A 20,099-nucleotide genomic window follows, 5' to 3' on the forward strand; every position below is an offset into this window, starting at 1 on the left:
ATCAAACACAAAATTATTAGAAGATAATAATTAACAAACACCAGAGCAGAAATAAATGAAATTGACACGAACAAAATAAAAAAGATCAACAAAACAAAAAGTTGGTTTTTTGAAAAGTTAAACAAAATGGACAAATCCTTAACCAGACTAACAGAGAAAAAAATAAGGCCCAAATAAACAAAATCAGAGATGAAAAAGGAGACATTACAACCCATACCTCAGAAATTCAGAGGATCATTAATAGCTACTATGAGCACCTATATGCCAATAAGTTAGAAAATCTAGAAGAAATGAATAAATTCCTAGACGTATAAAACCTACCAAGATTAAAACATGAATAAATCCCAAACCTGAGCAGCCTGACAAGTAATGAGATTGAATCCAAAAGAAAAAGCCTCCCAGCATAGAAAAGCCCAGGACACTAAGACTTCACTGCTGAATTCTACCAAACATTTAAATAAGAACCAATATCAATCATACTCAAACTATTCTGAAAAACAGAGGAGGAGGGAATACTTCCAAATTTATTATATGAGGCCAGTATTACCTTGATAGCAAAACCAAAGACACATGAAAACTACAGGCCAGTATCACTGATGAACACTGATGCAAAAATCGGCAACAAAATACTAGCAAACCAAATTCAACACATTAAAAAGATAATTCATCACGATCAAGTGATATTTACCCCTGGGATCCAAGGATGGTTCAACATGCGCAAATCAATCTATGCGATACATCATATCAACAGAATGAAGGACAAAAACCATATGATCATTTGGATTGATGCTGGAAAACATTTGATAAAATTCAACATCCCTTCATAATAAAAAAACCATCAAAAAACAGTATAGAAAGAATATACCCTAACAAAAACCACATATGATAGACCCACAGCTAGTATCATATGGAATGGAGTAAAACTAAAAGCCTTTCCTCTGAGATCTGGAACACAAAAAGGATGCCCACTTTTACCATCATTCAACAAAGCACTGAAAATCCTAAAGCAATCAAGCGAAAGAAAGAAATAAAGGGCATCCAAAGTGTAAAGGAAGAAGTCAAATTATCCTTGTTTGCAGATGATATGATCCTATATTTGAGAAAACCTAAAGACTCCACCAAAAATCTGTTAGAACTGATCAACAAATTCAGCAAAGCTGCAGGATATAAAATCAGCATACGAAAAGCAGTAACATTTCTATAAGCCAATAGCGAACAATCTGAAAAAGCAGTCAAGAAAGTAATCCCATTTACAATAGCTACAAATAAAATTAAATACCTAGGAATTAAACAAAGAGGAGAAAGATCTCTACAATGAAAATTACAAAATATTGATGCAAGAAGTTGAAGAGGACACCAAAAAAATAATGGAAAGATATTCCACGTTCATGGTTTAGAAAAGTCAACATTGTTAAGATATCCATACTACCCAAAGCAATCCACATATTCAATGCAATCTCTATCAAAACATCAATAACATTCTTCACAGAAATAGGAAAAACAATCCTAAAATGTATGTGGAACCACAAAAGACCCAGAATACCCAAAGCTATCCTAAGGAAAAAGAACATAACTGGAGGAATCACATTATCTGACTTCAAATTATACTAGAGCTATAGTAATCAAAAGAGCAGGGTACTGGCATAAAAACACAGACCAATGGAACAGAATAGAGAATGCAGAAACAAATCCATACATGTAAAGTGAACTCATTTTCAACAGAAGTGCCAAAAACGTACATTGGGGAAAGGACAGTCTCTTCAGTAAATGGTGCTGGGGAAGCTGAATATTCATATACAAAAGAATAAAACTAGACCCCTATCTCTCGCCATATAAAAAAATCAAATCAGAATGGACTAAAGACTTAAATGTAAGACCTCAAACTAAGAAACTACTATAAGAAAACATTGGGGAAACTCTCTAGGACATTTTACTGGGCAAAGATTTTCTCGAGTAACATCCCACAAGCACAAGCAACAAAGCAAAAATGAACAAATGAGATCACGTCAAGTTAAAAAGCTTTTGCACAGCAAAGGATACAATCAACAGAGTGAAGAGACAACTAACATAATGGGAGAAAGTATTTGCAAACTTCCCAACTGACAAGAGATGAATAACCAGAATATGTAAGGAGCTCAAACAACTCTATAGGAAAATAAATCCAATAATCTGATTTTAAAATGGGCAAAAGATCCGAATAGACATTTCTCAAAAGAAGATAAACAAATGGTAAACCGATCTATGAAAAGGTGCTCAGCATCACGATCATCAGAGAAATGCAAATCAAAACTACAATGAGATATCATTTCACCCATGTAAAATACGCGTTTATCCAAAAGACAGGCAATGATAAATGCTGGTGAGATTATGAAGAAAAAAGAACCCTTGTATACTGTTGGTGGGAATGTAAATTAGTACAACTACTATGGAGAAGCACAGCAGGGTGATGAAAGTCAATAATAATTCAATTGTACAATTTATTTTATTTTATTTTTTGAGTCAGAGTCTCACTCTGTTGCCCAGGCTGGAGTGCAGTGGCGTGATCTCGGCTCACCGCAACCTCCACCTCCCAGGTTCAAACTATTCTTGTGTCTCAGTTTACCAAGTAGCTGGGATTACAGGCATGTGCCACCACACTCAGCTATTTTTTGTACTTTTAGTAGAAACAGGGTTTTGCCATGTTGGCCAGGCTGGTCTCGAACTCCTAGCCTCAAGTGATCCGCCCCCGGCCGCAGCCTCCCAAAGTGCTGGGATTACAGGCATGAGCCACCACCCCAGGCTAATTGTACATTTTAAAATAACTAAAAGAGTACCATTGAATTGTTTGTAACACAAAACATAAATGCTTGAGGGAACGGACACCCCATTTACCCTGATGTGATATGTGTTATGTACCGCATGCCTATATCAAAATATCTCCTGTACCCCATAAATACATGCATCTACTAGTACCCACAAACATTAAAAATTAGGATTTTTTTAAAATGCACCAAATCATAAAGAAATTGTGAATTTTGACTACAATCCAGTTTCTAGTTTCTATATAACTAAAGACATGATAAAATTTTGAAAGATCAGCCACAGAGTTAGAGAAACCATTTAACTGATTAGTTATCAGTTTAACTGGTTAGTATCAGAATCTATAAACGATGTTTAATATTCAATAAGGAAGAGACAAATAATGCAATAGAAAAATTAGCAAAAGCTACATGCATTTAATTCATAGAAAAGGACATACAAATGATCAAGAAACATAAAATGTTCCTTAACCTTTTTATTTATCAAGGAGATGTCATTGAAACAACTCTAACATACCATTTCACATCCCAAAGGTGTGCATTTTTCTTTCTTTTTTTTTTTTTTTTGAGACAGGATCTTGCTCTGTGGTCCAGGCTGGAGTGCATTGGAGCAATGCTAGCTCACTGCAGCCTTGAACTCCTGAGCTCAAGCAATCCTCCCACTTCAGCCTTCCAAAATGGCTGAGACTACAGGTCTCTGCCACCACGCCCAGATAATGTATGGGTTTTTTTCAGAGATGGGGGTCTCATTATGTTGCCCAGGCCAGTCTTGAACTCTGGCTTCAAGTGATCCTCCCATCTCAGCCTCCCAAAGTGTTAGGATTACAGTCTTAAGCCACTACACCCAGCCTGGCCCTTTTGTTTTTTTTGTTTGTTTGTTTGTTTGTTTCTGTTTCTGTTTTTTTTTTTTTTTTTTTTTGAGATGGAGTCTCGCTCTTTTGCCCAGGCTGGAGCACAGTGGTGCAATCTTAGCTCACTGCAACCTCTGCCTCCTGGGTTCAAGTGATTCTCCTGCCTCAGCCTCCCGAGTAGCTGGGAGTATAAGCACGCACCACCAGGTCTGGCTAATTTTTGTATTTGTAATAGAGATGGGGTTTCGCCATGTTGCCCAGGCTGATCTCGAACTCCTGACCCCTGCCCACCTCAGCCTCTCAAAGTGCTGGGATTACAGGCGTGAGCCACCGTGCCTGGCCTAGGCACTTTTTTTAAAGTGACAATGCGAAATGTTGGAGGGACCAACATACACTACTGATGGATGTGCATTTCGGCAATTTGACAGCATCTAATAATACTAAAAATACAGAAGCCTTGCCAATCAGTAACTCTACTTCTCTAATGTATGTGCTATAGTTGAAATGCTCACACACATACACAAGAAGAAATTCACAAATGTATTAGAGTTTTGAGAGATCAAAATAAATAGATACATAAAGGAAACACATACATGTTCATCAGGAGAGGAAAAGACAAAATATGTCATATTCAAATAATGAAAAATTCAACACCTAAAATGAAAGAACTTAATTTACATGTATGTTGATTTATAAAAGCAAGTTGCAGGACAGCACTACATAATATGCCACTAACGCATTTTATGCAATGTTATCTCTCCGTACATGCCCATGAAGTCAATGTGTACAATTATGGAAGTGAAGGATACTCATCAAGACATTCATTTTCTCTGAGGAGGTGGGAAGGGAAATAGGTAGGGCCAGTAAGGGGTATGAAGGAGGCTTCAATGATATCTATCTACCATATTTTATGTCATAATAATTACAAAAATGAAAATCCAAAGCAAAATGTCAAAATGTTAAACTTTGTTATTTCTAATTAACCATCGGAAGTATTTGTTATATTACTTTTATGGTGAACTCATTTATATTAAATATGCTAAGTGCTTAATTAATTCAGCTATTGGACTATCAGTGGCAAGTTTAAGAAACTCAACTCAGCCAGGTTAGACAAAAAGGGAATGCACTGACTCACAGAACCCAAAGAAAGATCGAAAGACCAAACCGTGAGTAGGACCGATTTGGAGTAGATCTTAGAAATGAATTTGAACCAAGACTCTGGACTGCCACTTGGACTCTCTCACCAACGTCGGTGTCCGTGCCTTTCTGCGTAAAATAAGACTACCCTAATCCCACAACTTCAACTGCTGTTGCTGCTGCTGATACTACTAGCAGCAATGAGCATTGACATAGTCCTCATGGTGTGCACATCAAGAATCTAAGCACTTTGCGTTTATTGACTAATTGAATCCTCTGATTTCACTGCAGCACATACCTTAGAGAAGTAGAGTTACTGATCGGCAAGGGTTGTGCATCTTTAATATTATTAGATGCTGTCAAATTGCCAAAATACACATCTATCAGGAGTGTTTGAGTGGTACCTCCAACATTTGGTATTGTGACTTAAAAAAGTGCCTCTAAACAATACCATATTATGGATAAAGAAACTGAGGCACAGAGAAGTGAAATTACCTGTACAACTCCTACAGCTGGGGATGAAACCTAGGCAGGTGTATTTATTCCTGATCACTAGAAATTGACTTTCACCACCTTGAATAACTCTGAGTATTGAGTATTTCAAATATTTTTGTTTTTCTCATACTTTCTGCCACTGAAGAAAGACAGCTGATCTTTCTGGCCTCCGGTTTAAAAATCCAAGGGGAAGGCTGTGATTAACCTGTCTGGGGTCAGGTGCTCTTCCTGGATCTATCATCTGTGGCCTGAGAGTGGTAGGATGGGGCCGAGGTAGCAGTATTAGGGCATGGAACAAAACAGAAGTTTCTATGGAATTCATAAAGTTAGAGCAAGGAAAGAAGTTACCAGGAAAAATAAAGACTCAGTTTCCTAAGGGGTTGGGGGAAAGTGAGGATGAGGGGCTGGGTAGACAAATAATAGATGCCCTATACATTTTAACATGACATTAAACATGTCATGTTTTTTATCCCTTTGTTTTATTTAAAATACAAACAATGAGCATGTCTTGTTTTGTAAGTTTAAAAAAATTCAGAAAGCTTTTCAGCGTTCTTTCAGTGGCTGCCTCTCCTCTGAATTCTTCTCCCTTGTTCACTCCCTCCCCACTGGAAACAGACCCTGGCACATTGTGTTGGTGTATGAATGGAGTCAATGTCTCCCACACCATGCCTGAATTCCTCCTGAAAAGTTGAAAATGTTCTTTGTAAACATTCCAGCGTGAAGAAACTAGGAAAGTTACTTAAAGGTCATGCTCACATGTTGTTTTAAGTGATTAATTAAATGTTTTCATTTTATATTTTGGAATCAGGGTCAGAGAATTAGAAAGAAACCATGTGTTATAGCCACACAGACTTCGGTTCAAATCTTGGCTCTAGTGCTAACGGAAATCATTTTGAACATTTTTTCTTAATCTTCCTTATCTCAGATTCACCATTTTTTAAAATAGGGAAAATAAGAACAGCCTCATAGGATTGGGGGGAAGAGGGTTGAGTCTGCAATGAGTTTGATGAGTTTGTCCAGGTGGTAAGGTGATCATAGATTTGTGGGAGAATTTGTTAGTTTCCTAGAAGAGCGTCAGTGATCTTCCAGAAATCTGTAATTAGAGATGCATTTCTAGGCTGTTTTTCCTTTATTCAAGGGGAGATCAATCCCCTCGGGTACATTCTCTGACAGTCCTGTTCTAGGGAGTACTGCCCCTGGAGAAGAACCCTCTCATTGTGTCTTCACTTAGCATTCTTGCCAGAGGACACATATGTTTCATCCTATGTTTCTGCTGAAGGATATTCTCCAGCTTGTCTAAAACTGGGGCCCAACAAAGAGCCTCCTTTTGTCTTTCTCAACTAAGAGTCAACCTAAAGGGCATTAATAATAAGCTGTCTTGCACACTTTCTTTCTCCTCTATCAGAGAGACAGACCAGATAGAAACCTGCCTCTTAAGAGAGTATTCAGGAAAAGCATATTATTGCTGGAGTCCTGTATGTATGAACTGTTCAACCTGTGGTGGACAAGGAGAAAAGACAGAAGGGCATCTGTAGGAGGGAAACAGATCCCAAACTAGAAGAATCTGGATCAGCTAGAAAGGCAAGATGAGAACACAAGTGGAATGCTTGACTCATCTGCAGGGGACATTCACCTTTCAGGCATAGGGAGCAACAGTTCATGTCAAAGACTTAGCAGAAGTTCATGACTGGATTTAACCCTCAAGCTGAGTTCTGGGGCAATCCCTCCAGTATGTGGAGGGCCAGTGAGAGTGAAGAAAGGTGAGATGTAGAAGGTGATGCAGGCATGGAGGTGATGGGATTCAAGGAGTGCTGGTGAGGAAAAAGGGAAGGGAACCAGCCCAAGGGATACTTAGGAGGCTGAATCTGTAGGGCTTGGGGATTGTTTGGACCTATGAGATGAAGAAGAGGAACATGTCAAGAATGAGTCTCAGTTACAGGATGGAGTGTTGAGTTAGCTACAGTTCCATTTGTTGGAAAGGGCGTCTGGACATAGTAACAAGTTTCAGGGAGTGCAAAGCCCCAGGGATGGTTCTGAACACTGAAAGCAAGCATTCCTACCCTCATGGCCAGGACACTTCCACAATAAATTATAAACTGACCCTCATCTGTAGATAATCTCTTGTAAATTTGGTTAGCATAAAACATTCATACAAACTTCAGGGAAATTCATAAAATTAGATTGGAGAATGAAATTGCTGCAATTATAGAAACCTTATTCTTGTGCTTCCCTCGTTCTGGATTTGACACAGCTGCCAGCACCTCTCTCTCCATCTCTCTAATTTCAACAGGGAGTTCAGAGTTTAAGTCCCATAAATTACCAATTACCACAAGAGAGGTAGAAATAAGATGCTGAGGGAATTCAAAGAAGGCACAAGTTGTCTACATCTGGGATATGGGGGGATATGAGACAGACAAGCAGGAAAGCAGGACTTGATGCAGAGAAGAGTGGCATCTACTTAATTACAGAAGAAGGCTGTAGACGTTATCCGAGGATGGCTGGAAACTTTGAAGTATTAATAAAAAAGTAACAGAGTTGAAGCACACAGTACCTGGCAAACAATAAGCACTCATTCAATGAGTCTCTGACCTGGATCTCAATCTTAGCTTAGCATCTTCTCAGTCATGGGGCTCTCCTTCACTCACATCCACACCTGAACTTTCAGACTATAGTCTCGTGGCTAACAAGGTCATATTTTCTCAGTAGTGACTGCGATTTATCTTCTATTGTCGTCCATTTTTCTTTTGAATCCAGTAGCTCTTATTTGGAGAAGAAGGAATTAAGAGACCAGTATGCATTGGGAGGAAAGTCTAAAGTTGCTGGTATTGCATCCAGAAAAGGAGTGAGAAGAGTGGACTAAAAACAGTCCACAAAAAACAGAAGAGAATCTACACCATTTGTGGCCTGTTCAGTTTCCTCCCAAAGAAAATCTCCCTGGCAGTATCTGGGAGACACTCAGTAAATTATGTTAAATGAGTGAGTAAGGAAATGAATTAATATCCAATCATTATAATAATAGCTAATATTTATAAAGGACTTGTCTTGTTACAGTCACGGTACACAATGATTTACATTCATCTCTTCCTCTTCTGTTTTCCTCTTTTTATTCATTGTTGGTTAGGTAATTTTCCTAATATCACAGAACTAGTGAGAGATGAAATCAGGACACAAACTCATAATTGCAGTTATTTCAGTGTCACACTAATGCTGTTGCTATATTACATTTTAGATCAAATAGTCATTTGATATAGGCATGTTTTCATTTCTAAACTCAGAGCAACAGCAACTCTCATCCACAATGAGTATTGAAACATATTCATATTTGACACATACTGGGACGTAAAGTCACTATAAAAAAATCCCCAAGCTAACAAGCTGGCATTTGACCCCAGCTCTGCTAAGATCAAGTGAGGTCTTAATGTAAGACTGAAGAACAGCTGAGTATATCTTTTTATTCCCTTATCCAACAAATGTTTATTGACAACCTCTTATGTGCCATTCATACGTTAGATATTGGGGATAGAATGGTGAATCAGACAGGCATAGCCCCCTTCATGAATCTTAAAGTGGAGGAAACAAAACAAATAGGCAATGAAACACTACACACATCTATAAATAATTATTTCAGCAATTGATAGCTGTTATAGGAGTAAAACACAGGTAGAATGAGAGAGAATGGGCAGGTAGAGAGGGCTACTTTTGATAGGGTGGTTGGGAAAGGCATCTCTGAAGAGGTAATGTTTAAGCCAAGACCTGAAAGTTAAGAAGGTTGTCATGGTTAAAAATATCCAGAGGAAAAGGGTTTTTTTTTATATCCCTATAAGAAAAACAACAAAATAGTAAGCGTTTCCATGATAATCCTTAATTTTCCAAGCATTTCTGGATGCATTCTTTCACTTTTTCTGATTGGGAAAAGCCTATGGAAATCATTCCATTTTTGGGTCCTTTCCATAGATGGACTCAAGTTATTTGTTCACTTTCCCTATCGCTATTTTGTTAGTATGTTGGTTAATAATTGTAGGTCATCAATAAGGCTAGCTTAAAGGTCAACCAACTCTGAGAGACAGAAAATCCTCCAATTAGTTAAGAATCAGTGAAGAGTGATGCTTGGAGCCAGGGTGAAGAGTATCAAAGAAATCAAAGGGAAAGTTTCCCTGACCATTGTCCAAAAAGCAACCAATTGCTCTTTAGGGAAAGCCACAGTTGGCCTGCCTAATGAGCCTTGAAACTTTGAGCAAACAAATTCAGAGTCCACATTAGAGGCAAACAGAGGGCAAAGAGAGGGGATCATTAAACACACTGATTGGATGTGACCCTCTCCCCACTTGTGGAGTTTAGCCACCCTGGTGAGCCTTCATGGGTGAGACAGAGTAAGCATGGACTGGGCCACACCATCTCCTAAAGGAGACCTGCCCAAACCCCCCTTCCTGTTATTTTTCCATTAAGTTTCTGGCTGCCTCATCTTTTATTCCACATTGCACAGCCAGAACAGTTTCACTAAGAAGACTCAGAGATCACCAGGGTATGCAGTGTGGACGATCACTATAAACAGAGCAGTCATTGCTAATCCATCGCAACACGCTTTTCTCTGAGCCTGCAAGCAGCCTCAGTGTTCCTCTCAACACAAATCTACAGGCAGCTACTATCACTCAATAAGAATCAGAACACAATAAGAAATCTATGTGTCATTTCTGCATTCTAAACCATTTTAATATCACCATCACTAATATTGAATCACCACATGGCTCTCTATACGGATAGATACACTTGAGATTAGCTACTATAGTAGTAATTGCCACTAAATGAGCACCTACTATGCACTTAGAGAGCTTTTAAGTTCTCTACAGATTCTACTAACCCATTTTCATTGCAACTCCATGAAGTAAGACATAATGTTAGCCCCATTTTACAAATAAGGGAACAACAGGCTCAAAGAGGTCATGTAACTTGCAAAGATGTGGATCTCTGTGACTGAGCCAGAACATAAATCGAGACATATGCTGATTCCAAACTTGGGGCACTTTAGAGCACACCATATCATGATTAATTTTTTTGAGATAACAATATGGGGCACTTAAAGAATAAAAATTTCACCACTTTCTACTAAACCCAGAGCATATCCCTATCAATAACTAGCCTTCTATTACACGTGTTCTCATTTCTAAACTCAGAGCAACAGCAACAAGATCCACAATGAGTATTGAAACATATTCTTATTTGACATATCCTGGGAAGTAAAATCACTATTAAAAAATCCCCAAGCTAACAAGCTGGCATTTGACCCCAAGTCTGCTAAGATCAAGCGAGATCTTAATATAAGACTGAAGAACAGCTGAGTATATCTTTTTATTCCCTTACTCAAACAACAAATGGTTCCTGGCTGCTCACTATGTACTAAGTCCCGTACTGAGCAGCGGTGCTACAGTGATGAACAATATCCCACATATTCCACATAGTTGGAGCTTCCAAACTAATAGAGGATACAGACATTAAATAAACAAGTAGATGGAAGATCACCTATTTATTTTCATCAGCTCTAAGAGCCCTGAAAAATTAAAACAATGGTCAGTTCAATTTTGAATGTGGGTAGAGTGAGGTCAGAAAAATCTTTACATGGCCTGAAAGGATAGGTCTCAAAGAGAAGCAACAAAATCTAAACACTCAACCACATATCATCACAATGCCAAGAATCTAATAAAAATTACTAATCATATGGAGAAGCAGCATATTGTGACTCATGATCAGGAGAAAAATCAGAATATAGAACCACACTCAGGAGAGACAGAGCTGATGCTATCAGCAAAGACTTTAAGAGAGCTTTTATAAATAATCTGTAAAATTAAAATAAAAACCTGTAAGAGACAATAATATATATACACATACATAATATATATACCCACATATATGTATATATATACACATACACATATATGTGTGTGTGTGTGTGTGTGTGTGTGTGTGTGTATATATTAAAACTAAATGGTAAATTACCCAAAATGAAAAAGTCATGGGATGGGCTTAACATAATAAATGAAAGAAAATATCAATGAGCCAGAAGAAATAGAAATGGAAACCATCCAAATGATGCACAGAGAAAAAAAAACTAAAAAAAAATCAGAGTTTCACTGACCCTTTAAAGAATATGGAGTTTCTACCACACAAATAATTGGTATCCCAGAAAGAGAAAGGTAAAATATATTTTTAAAAATAACAGTTGAACATTCTTCACATTTAATTAAAACTGTAAATCCATGGATCTAAGAACCTCAATGAATCCAAGACAGAATAAAAACAAAAACCACTAAATATGTGTGTGTGTGTGTAGTCTATTTGCTGAAAACAGGTGATACAGAGAAAAATCTTAAAAGTAGAAAGTAAAAGACACATTATATAGGAAACAAACATAAGAACAATTCCAATGCAAGCCAGAATACAACAGAACAACATTTTAAAGTGGTTTTTTAAAATCCAGCCTAGAATTATATATACAACAGAAATATTATTAAAAGTAAAAGTAAAATCTACATTTTCAGAAAAAAATGGAAATCAGTAGCAGACCTACAATACAAGAAATATTCAAATGAAGCTCCTCATGCTGAAAAGAGTGGTAGTGGCTGGAGATGTGGACCTACATAAGGGAATGAAGAGAACCAGAAATGATTAATATGTTGGTAAATATGAAAAAAACTTTCTTTACTAATTTCTTTTAAAGCCATTGCCTGTTTAAACAAAAACAATGTTTTGTGAAATTTATAACAGGTAGAGAAAAAGAATGTATGACAAAAGCACAGAAGACATAGAAGGGAAATGGAAGTGTACGATAAACATTATTCATAAAGTGTTAAAATATTATTTGAAGAGAGAGATCATTATGAATCCTAGAGAAATCACTAAGAAAATGAAACAGAGCTATAGCTAATCACTCAACAGTGGAAATAAAACAGAAAACTAAAAATTATTCAATTAAAGTTTTAAGTAAAAAGAGAAAAAACAATAGATTGTTTAAATAGAAAACAAGGTTCAAACGGGTAAAATCAAACTCATTTGAATACTTCTATTAAATGTAAAATAGACTCCATTAAATGAAAAAAATTATATTTTGTAAAAAGCAAGCTCCAAGTGTAGACTATCTATATTGAACACTTTAAATGTGAAGACATAAGTGAGTTAAAAATTAAAGGATAGGAAAAGAAATGCCACGCAAACACTAATCTTAAGAAAATTGGAGTGGCCATATTAATATCAGAGAATGGAGACTTCCAGACAGATCAAGGAATATAGCTAGGGCATTAGGGAATATTTTAGGCTGATGGAAATATACTATATTATGATGTTAGTAAATACATGAGTACATGTATTTGTCAGACATCATCAAAAAGTACACTTAAAATGATTGTGTTTCATTGTATATAAATTGTACTTCCACTGAAAAATGTTGATTTTTTTTAAAAAAAAGAAGTAGAACCATATATGATGATTTGGGAAGATATTCAAGATATATTAATGAACAGAGCAAGTTAAAGAATTAGTTGTATATGTATATACATATATATATGTATATACATATATGTATATAATACATATATAATATATGTATATACATATATGTATATAATACATATATTATATATGTATATACATATATGTATATAATACATATATTATATATGTATATACATATACGTATAATACATATATTAACTATATATACACTAACATATATGTATATAGACACTATATACACTAACTGTATGTGTGTATGTACATATACACACATGCATATAGTGTGTATATATATCACATAGAACTTTTTTTTCAAAAGGATACACAGTGGAATGGTTAATTTGCTGCAGAGGAACTGGGGTTTGGCGAAGTCTTTTAGTTTTATCTTGTGTCTTTCTGAATTGCTCGAATTTTTCAAATAAGCACATAAATTCCTTTCAGATACATCAGTAGGGGTTATCTGCATAGTTAGAATATTATGGATATATATATATTACACACATATATATACAGCTTTTAATTTTTTTAATGAATAAACATTTTTAAAATAAACAGGCTTTCATTTGGTTGTATTTACTGAACAAAATACTGGGACAAATTTTCAAAGGCATTTAGTTTCAATGTCCCGAGATTATGATGTTGCTATAAATTAGTCATTTACATATTCTCCCCAGATGCAATTCCTTGGTAATTTCTCGTCTATTCAATAATCCTATATTGAGCATCACAGGAAGCTACCTAGAAGCTATGCTAAGACTGAGCATTTCACAAGGCAGAGATAGGTACAGAAGTTACCTTAACAGCAAATGTGATCCTAGGTGGTAAACAAACCCCCAGAACATACTTATTTCTAAGAAGGTTTACATAGGGCCAAATCTTTTTCTTCCTTAGCTCTGCTTGGAACAAAATAATATGTTGATCGTAACGTATCAATTTAAAATAAGCCAACCAACGAATCAACCAATAAATATTGATTCCAATCTTTTTTACCTGTGCCTCCAATTAAAATGACTGTTCACCTAGATAAAACATATCTATTTGAAAAGTCTATATCATGTCATAAGGGATATTTCAAGGTTTCACAGTTATTTGTTCACACCCCCATTACTTTTATTAGTAGGTTGGTTCATCATCACAGGTGATTAGCCAGGCTGGAGTAAAGGTCAACCACCTCTAAGAGAAAGAAAATCTTTCAATTAGTTAAGAATTGGTGCAGAGCAATATTGGAGCCAGGGTGAGAAATATCAAAGAAATCAAAGGAAAGGATGACCCAATTATTGTCCAAAAGGCAACCAATTATTCTTTAGGGAAAGCCAATCTTGGCCTGCCTAATGGGAGATGACATCCACCCCCCATGCCTATGCTGTGTCATCCTAATGACACACTCAAAAATCATAGGCAGGTGCATCTTGGTGTAGGAGACACAGGCCCATCACCATCCACTCTAGTCTTTCTCTTGCCGTCAACCTTCTCACGCCTCCTTTCTCCAGCATCACCACACTCTTCATGCCCTCCCTATATACAGCCTTCCCTTTCACCTGGTGGCATTTTTGTTTTTTGTTTGTTTGTTTGGGTGGTTGGTTTTTGAGACAGAGTCTCGCTCTGTGGCCAGGCTGGAGTGCAGTGGCACCATCTCAGCTCACTGCAACCTCCACCTCCCGGGTTCAAGCGATTCTCCTGCCTCCTGCCTCAGCCTCCCAAGTAGCTGGGACTATAGGCACATGCCACCACACCTAGCTAATTTTTGTATTTTTTTTTTTTTCAGTAGAGACGGGGTTTCACCATGTTGGCCAGGATGGTCTCAATCTCCTGACCTCGTGATCCACCCGCCTCGGACTCCCAAAGTACTGGGATTACAGGCGTGAGGCACCATGCCCAGCCTTGCTGCATCTTACGACCCAGCTCAAATGTTACCTCTTCTGCAAAGTCACCCCCGGCTTCCGCAGGAAAGTAGTCACTCCTTTGCCCCCAGTCCTGAACACTTACCTCTGGCTATGATAATCCACTGTATTACCACTATCAAGTCTCCCCTCCTACTACATGGGTGCTTCTCACTTTTGGATACACATTACAGTTAACCTAATGAGTTAATTTCTTTTTACTTGGGCTTAATTCCCAGAGATTTCTATAGAGTGAGTCTGCAGGTATGGCCTCGGCATAGGAGGTTGATTTCCCCAGGTGATTCTAACGTGCAGGTAAGGCTGAGACCCACAACAGGAGGCCAGTGCTTCAAAACTGTAACGTGCACATGAATCACCTAGAGTCTTGTCAAAATGAAGTTCAGTGTCAGGTGGTCTGGGGAGGGGCCCAAGATTCTGCATTTCTAGCAAGCTCCCAGCTGCCCCTGCGGCTGGACTCAGTGAGATATCAGATAGCAAACTCCTTGGGAGCAGGAAGCTGACACTGTAGTACTCGAAGACTGTGTTGTCAGGAGTTCTCATACATTGCAGGAGAGTGAGCATTGACCCAACCACTTAGAACAGTAATTTGGCAGAACTTATTAACCTTAAAATATGCACATATATTTTGACCAGCAACCTTGTTTTTGATCATTAGAGGATAATAAGAGCACACGAGGTTGTTTGTAAGGAATGTTTAGTGCAGCCTTGTTTGTGATGACAAAAAAAGTAAAAAAAAAACTAAATGTTTAAGAAAGAAATGGTTGACTGTAAATTATTTTTATACCTTCATGAAATATTATGTAGCCATTGAAAAGAATGACTTAGAGCTAAGTCTACGGATAAGGAGATTTAGTTCTGACATATCGTTAGTAAGAAAAAAAGGTTACCAAATAGCATTCATAGTATGATTCTATTTTTTCAAACAAATAGAAAAAGCCTATTACACAGGTTTATGTGTGTGTCTAGGCTTGATTGAGATGGCAAAAGATGTTGAAATGCACACAACTGGAAGTTGATATCAATTTGTCTTAGGTATTGATGGTGAGAAGCAAGTGAGGATGGAGGAGGGTATTTAAAAATCTTTATCTCATTTTCTTGGCTGTGGTGAGTATAACTCACTTCTGGAATCTTTAAAGGGTCATTAATGAAAAGAAAACAAAAATGTTTGCTAATATAGACTCCAATATGAAATGCCACCAGACGTTCTATTTCTACTTCTAAAATTCAATTCAGATCACAACCCCACTATAAGTTCCTCACTGCCTCACTGGCCCCAAGTCTTGAGGACAAAGTGCAAGTTCCTTAGCAAGGTGTACAAGCCCCTGCATGACCTGTTTACTGCCTGCCTCCCTACCTTCAGCCCTAGCTTCACCCTCCCCCACCTGTATACATGCCTTCGTCATCCCAAGCATTCCATGTTCTCACTGGTCTCCAAGCTTTGCACATGCAGTGGCCTCTCTCTGCGATGCCTGTCCTTCCCTCCTTCACCTGGATTATTATTATTTTTCCTTCAAGGTTCAGCTCAGAGTTTCTTCCTCTAGGAAGACTTTCTGACAGCTCTTCTGCAGGACTGGATTGGATGCTGCCTCTGTGGACTCTAATAGCACCCTCTGTCCCAGACTAGTCATTCTGAACTGTAATTTTATGTTTACTTGATATGTCTACTAAACTATTTGTCATTAAGGATAGGGGACATACTTTGGGCCACCATAAATGCTCAACAAATATGTGTTGAATGGCTGAATTGCTGAGTAAAGTGGATGGGTGGGTGAATGATAAAGATGAATGGGTGAATGAATGGAAGGAAGGACAGATAATACAAATAGATGGATGGATGGATGATTGATGGATAGATGAATGGCAGGCACAGAGCTGCAATGACTTTCTCAAGATCACATAGCCAGTGGCTTCTAAGAAAAAATAAGTATGTGACACCAAAAAAGTAAAAGAAAGAAAAGAGTAATACTTTTTCCCAGGTCTATTTACTCCTTCTGATGATGCCAGAGCCACCTTTGGACAGTCCATGAATCTGAAAATCCTTTTGGGTCAGGCTGGAAACCAGGACTGTCAGCTTAAAAGCCATGTCAGTATTCATCTTGCCACAGCCTCTGCTGGAACCAATGCCCTCAGACAGGTGACTCAGAGATCAGAAGTGGTACCATGTATTTTCCTTTCAAGCTCACTCAGGACCGAAATGAGATCTCCAGGTAGTTCAGAATCCCACACCCTCACACACACATGCATACACGTGCTCACACATGCACACACATACATATGCACACTCACAGGCAGTGGGTCAGTACAATGCAGGAGAAAATGGCAAGGCCTGTGATGCCAGAGAAGCTGCTGCAGCTCATTTAACACCAAATCACTTGTAATCCATCAGACCTGGCATTTTCTCTCTGCCTTTCCAGGGTGTCTTAATAAAGCTCTCCAAAATTGTATTGCTACTAAGAAAAATCAAGCATATAAAAATGCCTAGTCACCAGCCTATTGCAAACTAAATTTGGACGTCAGTAGCACGGAATCATTTTGAGAGTAAAAGGGGTGCCCACTGGACACTGAGAGTAAACTGAGGTGTCTGAGACAAAGCAGGGTATATGTTCACCTTAGACACGAAGGTCTCTGAAATCACTGGTTTCCTGGCAATTGGCATGTATTTTTCAAATTTTAGTGGGACATTTTATTTTTAACATAATTGATGGAAGCAATAACTTTTCATTCATACCTGTATTTCTGTTTTCTGGCATGGAACCTGACGTGTAATTGCCCATTGAATGAATGAACCACATCAGTAACCATCACAGTGGGTCCACATAACTCAGCTCCCCTAGGGCCATCCCCTGGTGTAGGGAATAAACTTCCACAGCAAACTCCCAGACATCTCCCACCCATGCCTCCTCTCTGCACCCTCCCCTTCCTGATTCGCATTCTCAGACAATCTCCTCACTCAGCACTACTCAGCCCTTTAGCTCTTATTCTCTATCATTTGATCGACCTCCTAACATCCTGATTGAAGACATAAAATAGGCCCTGGAGCTTATGATTCTAAGAAGGACACCAAAATGCGCCCTCTATGTCCTTCAGAGTCACACACCCTTGCTGGGCTCTTCCTTCTTCTATTTGTTTTGAGATGGAGTCACGCTCTGTCACCCAGGCTGGAGTACAATGGCTCCATCTCAGCTCACTGCAACTTCTGTCTCCCGAGTTCAACCGATTCTGCCTCAGCCTCCCGAGTAGCTGGGATTACAAGTGTGTGCCACCACATCTGACTTTTTTTTTTATTTTTTTGTACTTTTAGTAGAGACAGTGTTTCACCGTGTTGACCAGGCTGCTCTCAAACTCCTGGCCTCAAGTGATTTGCCCGCCTTGGCCTCCCAAAGTGCTAGGATTACAGGCATGAGCCACAGCACCCAGCCTCTTCCATCTTTTGTGAGCCCCTCCCTCACACGCTTTCTCAGTTGGGGAAGGAGAAAGCCAACTCTGCTTGCATTAACCATGTGATATTTCTTCACAAAGAAAACAAATGCCTCCTAGGGTTGGTTTGTTCTCCCTTGTCTAAACCATCATCCCATTTGTGCTTTAGCTTCATCTTCAAGCTGGGTTGTAAACTCTTTGAAAGAAGGAGCTGTGTCTTCATACTTTGAGATTTCCACCAATAAGAATATCCCACAGTAAACAGTGTGTTTGCTTCACTATACAGTTTCCTTGAAAGGACCAAGTGCAAAATGCCATTAATAGTCATGTAATTTACTTTTGTTTTCTGGCTTTTTCTAGATGAATGTAAAGGTATTCCCAAGGGTTTTCATATATTTACTTTTCACCTTGATCCCCAAAATTATTTTTACTATAAAGCCTTAGAATCCTTAATCACAACTTCTCAAACCATTTGAGTTGATCATCTATGACGAAAAGGATGAGGGCAAGAGAAATATTTTAGGTTAATGATTCTCAAATTTGAGCTTGTATCAGAATCCACTGGAGTGTTTGTTAAAACACAGAACCCTCCAGTGGTTCTGATTCCAGTGGTCTGGGGTGTGGTCCAATAATTTGCATTTCTAACAAGTTCCCAGATGTTGCTGATGCTGCTGGTCCAGGAACCACATTTGGAGAACCCCTGCTCCAGCCTTCAAGAATTCCTGGAAAACACGTGTCTGCATTCTTTTTTTTTTTTTTTTTTTTTTTTTGAGATGGAGTCTCGCTCTATCACCCAGGCTGGAGTGCAATGGCGCGATCTCTGCTCACTGCAAGCTCCACCTCCTGGGTTCACGCCATTCTCCTGCCTCAGCCTCCCGAGTAGCTGGGACTACAGGCATGCGCCACCTCGCCCGGCTAATTTTTTGTATTTTTAGTAGAGACGGGGTTTCACCGTGTTAGCCAGGATGGTCTCGATCTCCTGACCTCGTAATCTGCCCGCCTCGGCCTCCCAAGGTGCTGGGATTACAGGCGTGAGCCACAGCGGCCGGTCATGTGTCTGCCTTCTAATAGTGCTAGTGTCAAGATTTCTGCCTTTCAGTTCTTCAGTCCAAATCTTAAATCTAAATCAATCAGATATAGGAGCCAATATTTTTATTAAGCACATACGATAGGTCAGGAATTTGGGGGAGGTCAAGAACTTGGCAGAGTGCTTTTCATGCATCTCTCAAATCATCTTCCACAACCGTCTGAGATATAGCCCACGATTGCCTTAATTCTACAAATGAGAACACTAAGGGACAGAGAGAGAAGCTCTTCCCAAAGTCACACAGATAAGACTCCAGAGCCAACACCCAGGAGCAGTGTTTACATTGCCTACACTCCGATATTACAGAATAATACATACAACCTATGGAAAAGTGTGCAAGGAAGGAACATGCCTGAAGGTGGAGCATCAGTGAGTTGTAAAACATCATATCTGGTCAGCAATCCCTGAGACAGATGTACTGACCTCCTTTTCCAGCTCCAGTAACCTGTCAGATGTCATTCAAATGCTCAACTGCCTTGAGTTGAGTTCTTCTGAGGGCAGACCCTGAGACAAAGACACGGATTCACCATACGTGGGAGGTGATCCCAGGAGGCATAAATAAGGAAGTGAGAAAATGAGACAGAGAATAGAGAAAGGCTAACAAGTTGTGGCCTACTGGGACTTGTCCCCCTAGAGATCCTCTTTGGAACCAGTTAGAATAGACTTCAGAACTGAACAGCCATGGGTGGGGAGCCTGGGGCATTTATCTATTGACTTCCATCTGCTGTTGGTTGAGGGTTAACTCCCTCCACCTCTCAGTTGTACCCGCACAGCGCTGAGCAGGCTTTGTCAACTTCAGAGAAGGCCAGGCAGCAAGATAATATCCAGCTTCCTCTAGATGCACAGAAATTTGGCAAAAAGAAACATCACACCTACTCCTTCCAGACTGGGTGGGACAGTCTAACAGTGT

General features: G+C 38.8%; 1 long non-coding RNA gene across 1 annotated transcript in view, besides 2 other annotated features; it reads right to left on the reverse strand.

The window, feature by feature from the left end:
- Positions 1-20,099, reverse strand: part of DYNLRB2-AS1 (DYNLRB2 antisense RNA 1) — a 407,178-nt gene that overhangs the window by 242,188 nt on the left and 144,891 nt on the right. The window lies entirely within an intron of this gene.
- Positions 9,223-9,367: an enhancer, noted in NCBI's record as "145 bp enhancer 101 fragment used in the MPRA reporter construct; PK_construct_203". NCBI's record gives its function as "activates an SV40 promoter by MPRA in HepG2 cells {active_cell/tissue: HepG2}" and the evidence as "EXISTENCE:reporter gene assay evidence [ECO:0000049][PMID:23512712]".
- Positions 9,288-9,301: a transcriptional cis regulatory region, noted in NCBI's record as "HNF1 motif; enhancer activity is reduced when this motif is scrambled". NCBI's record gives its function as "necessary for full MPRA enhancer 101 activity {active_cell/tissue: HepG2}" and the evidence as "EXISTENCE:site-directed mutagenesis evidence [ECO:0005528][PMID:23512712]".

Source organism: Homo sapiens, chromosome 16 (genome assembly GCF_000001405.40).
Source record: "Homo sapiens chromosome 16, GRCh38.p14 Primary Assembly".
Classification (NCBI taxonomy): domain Eukaryota; kingdom Metazoa; phylum Chordata; class Mammalia; order Primates; family Hominidae; genus Homo; species Homo sapiens.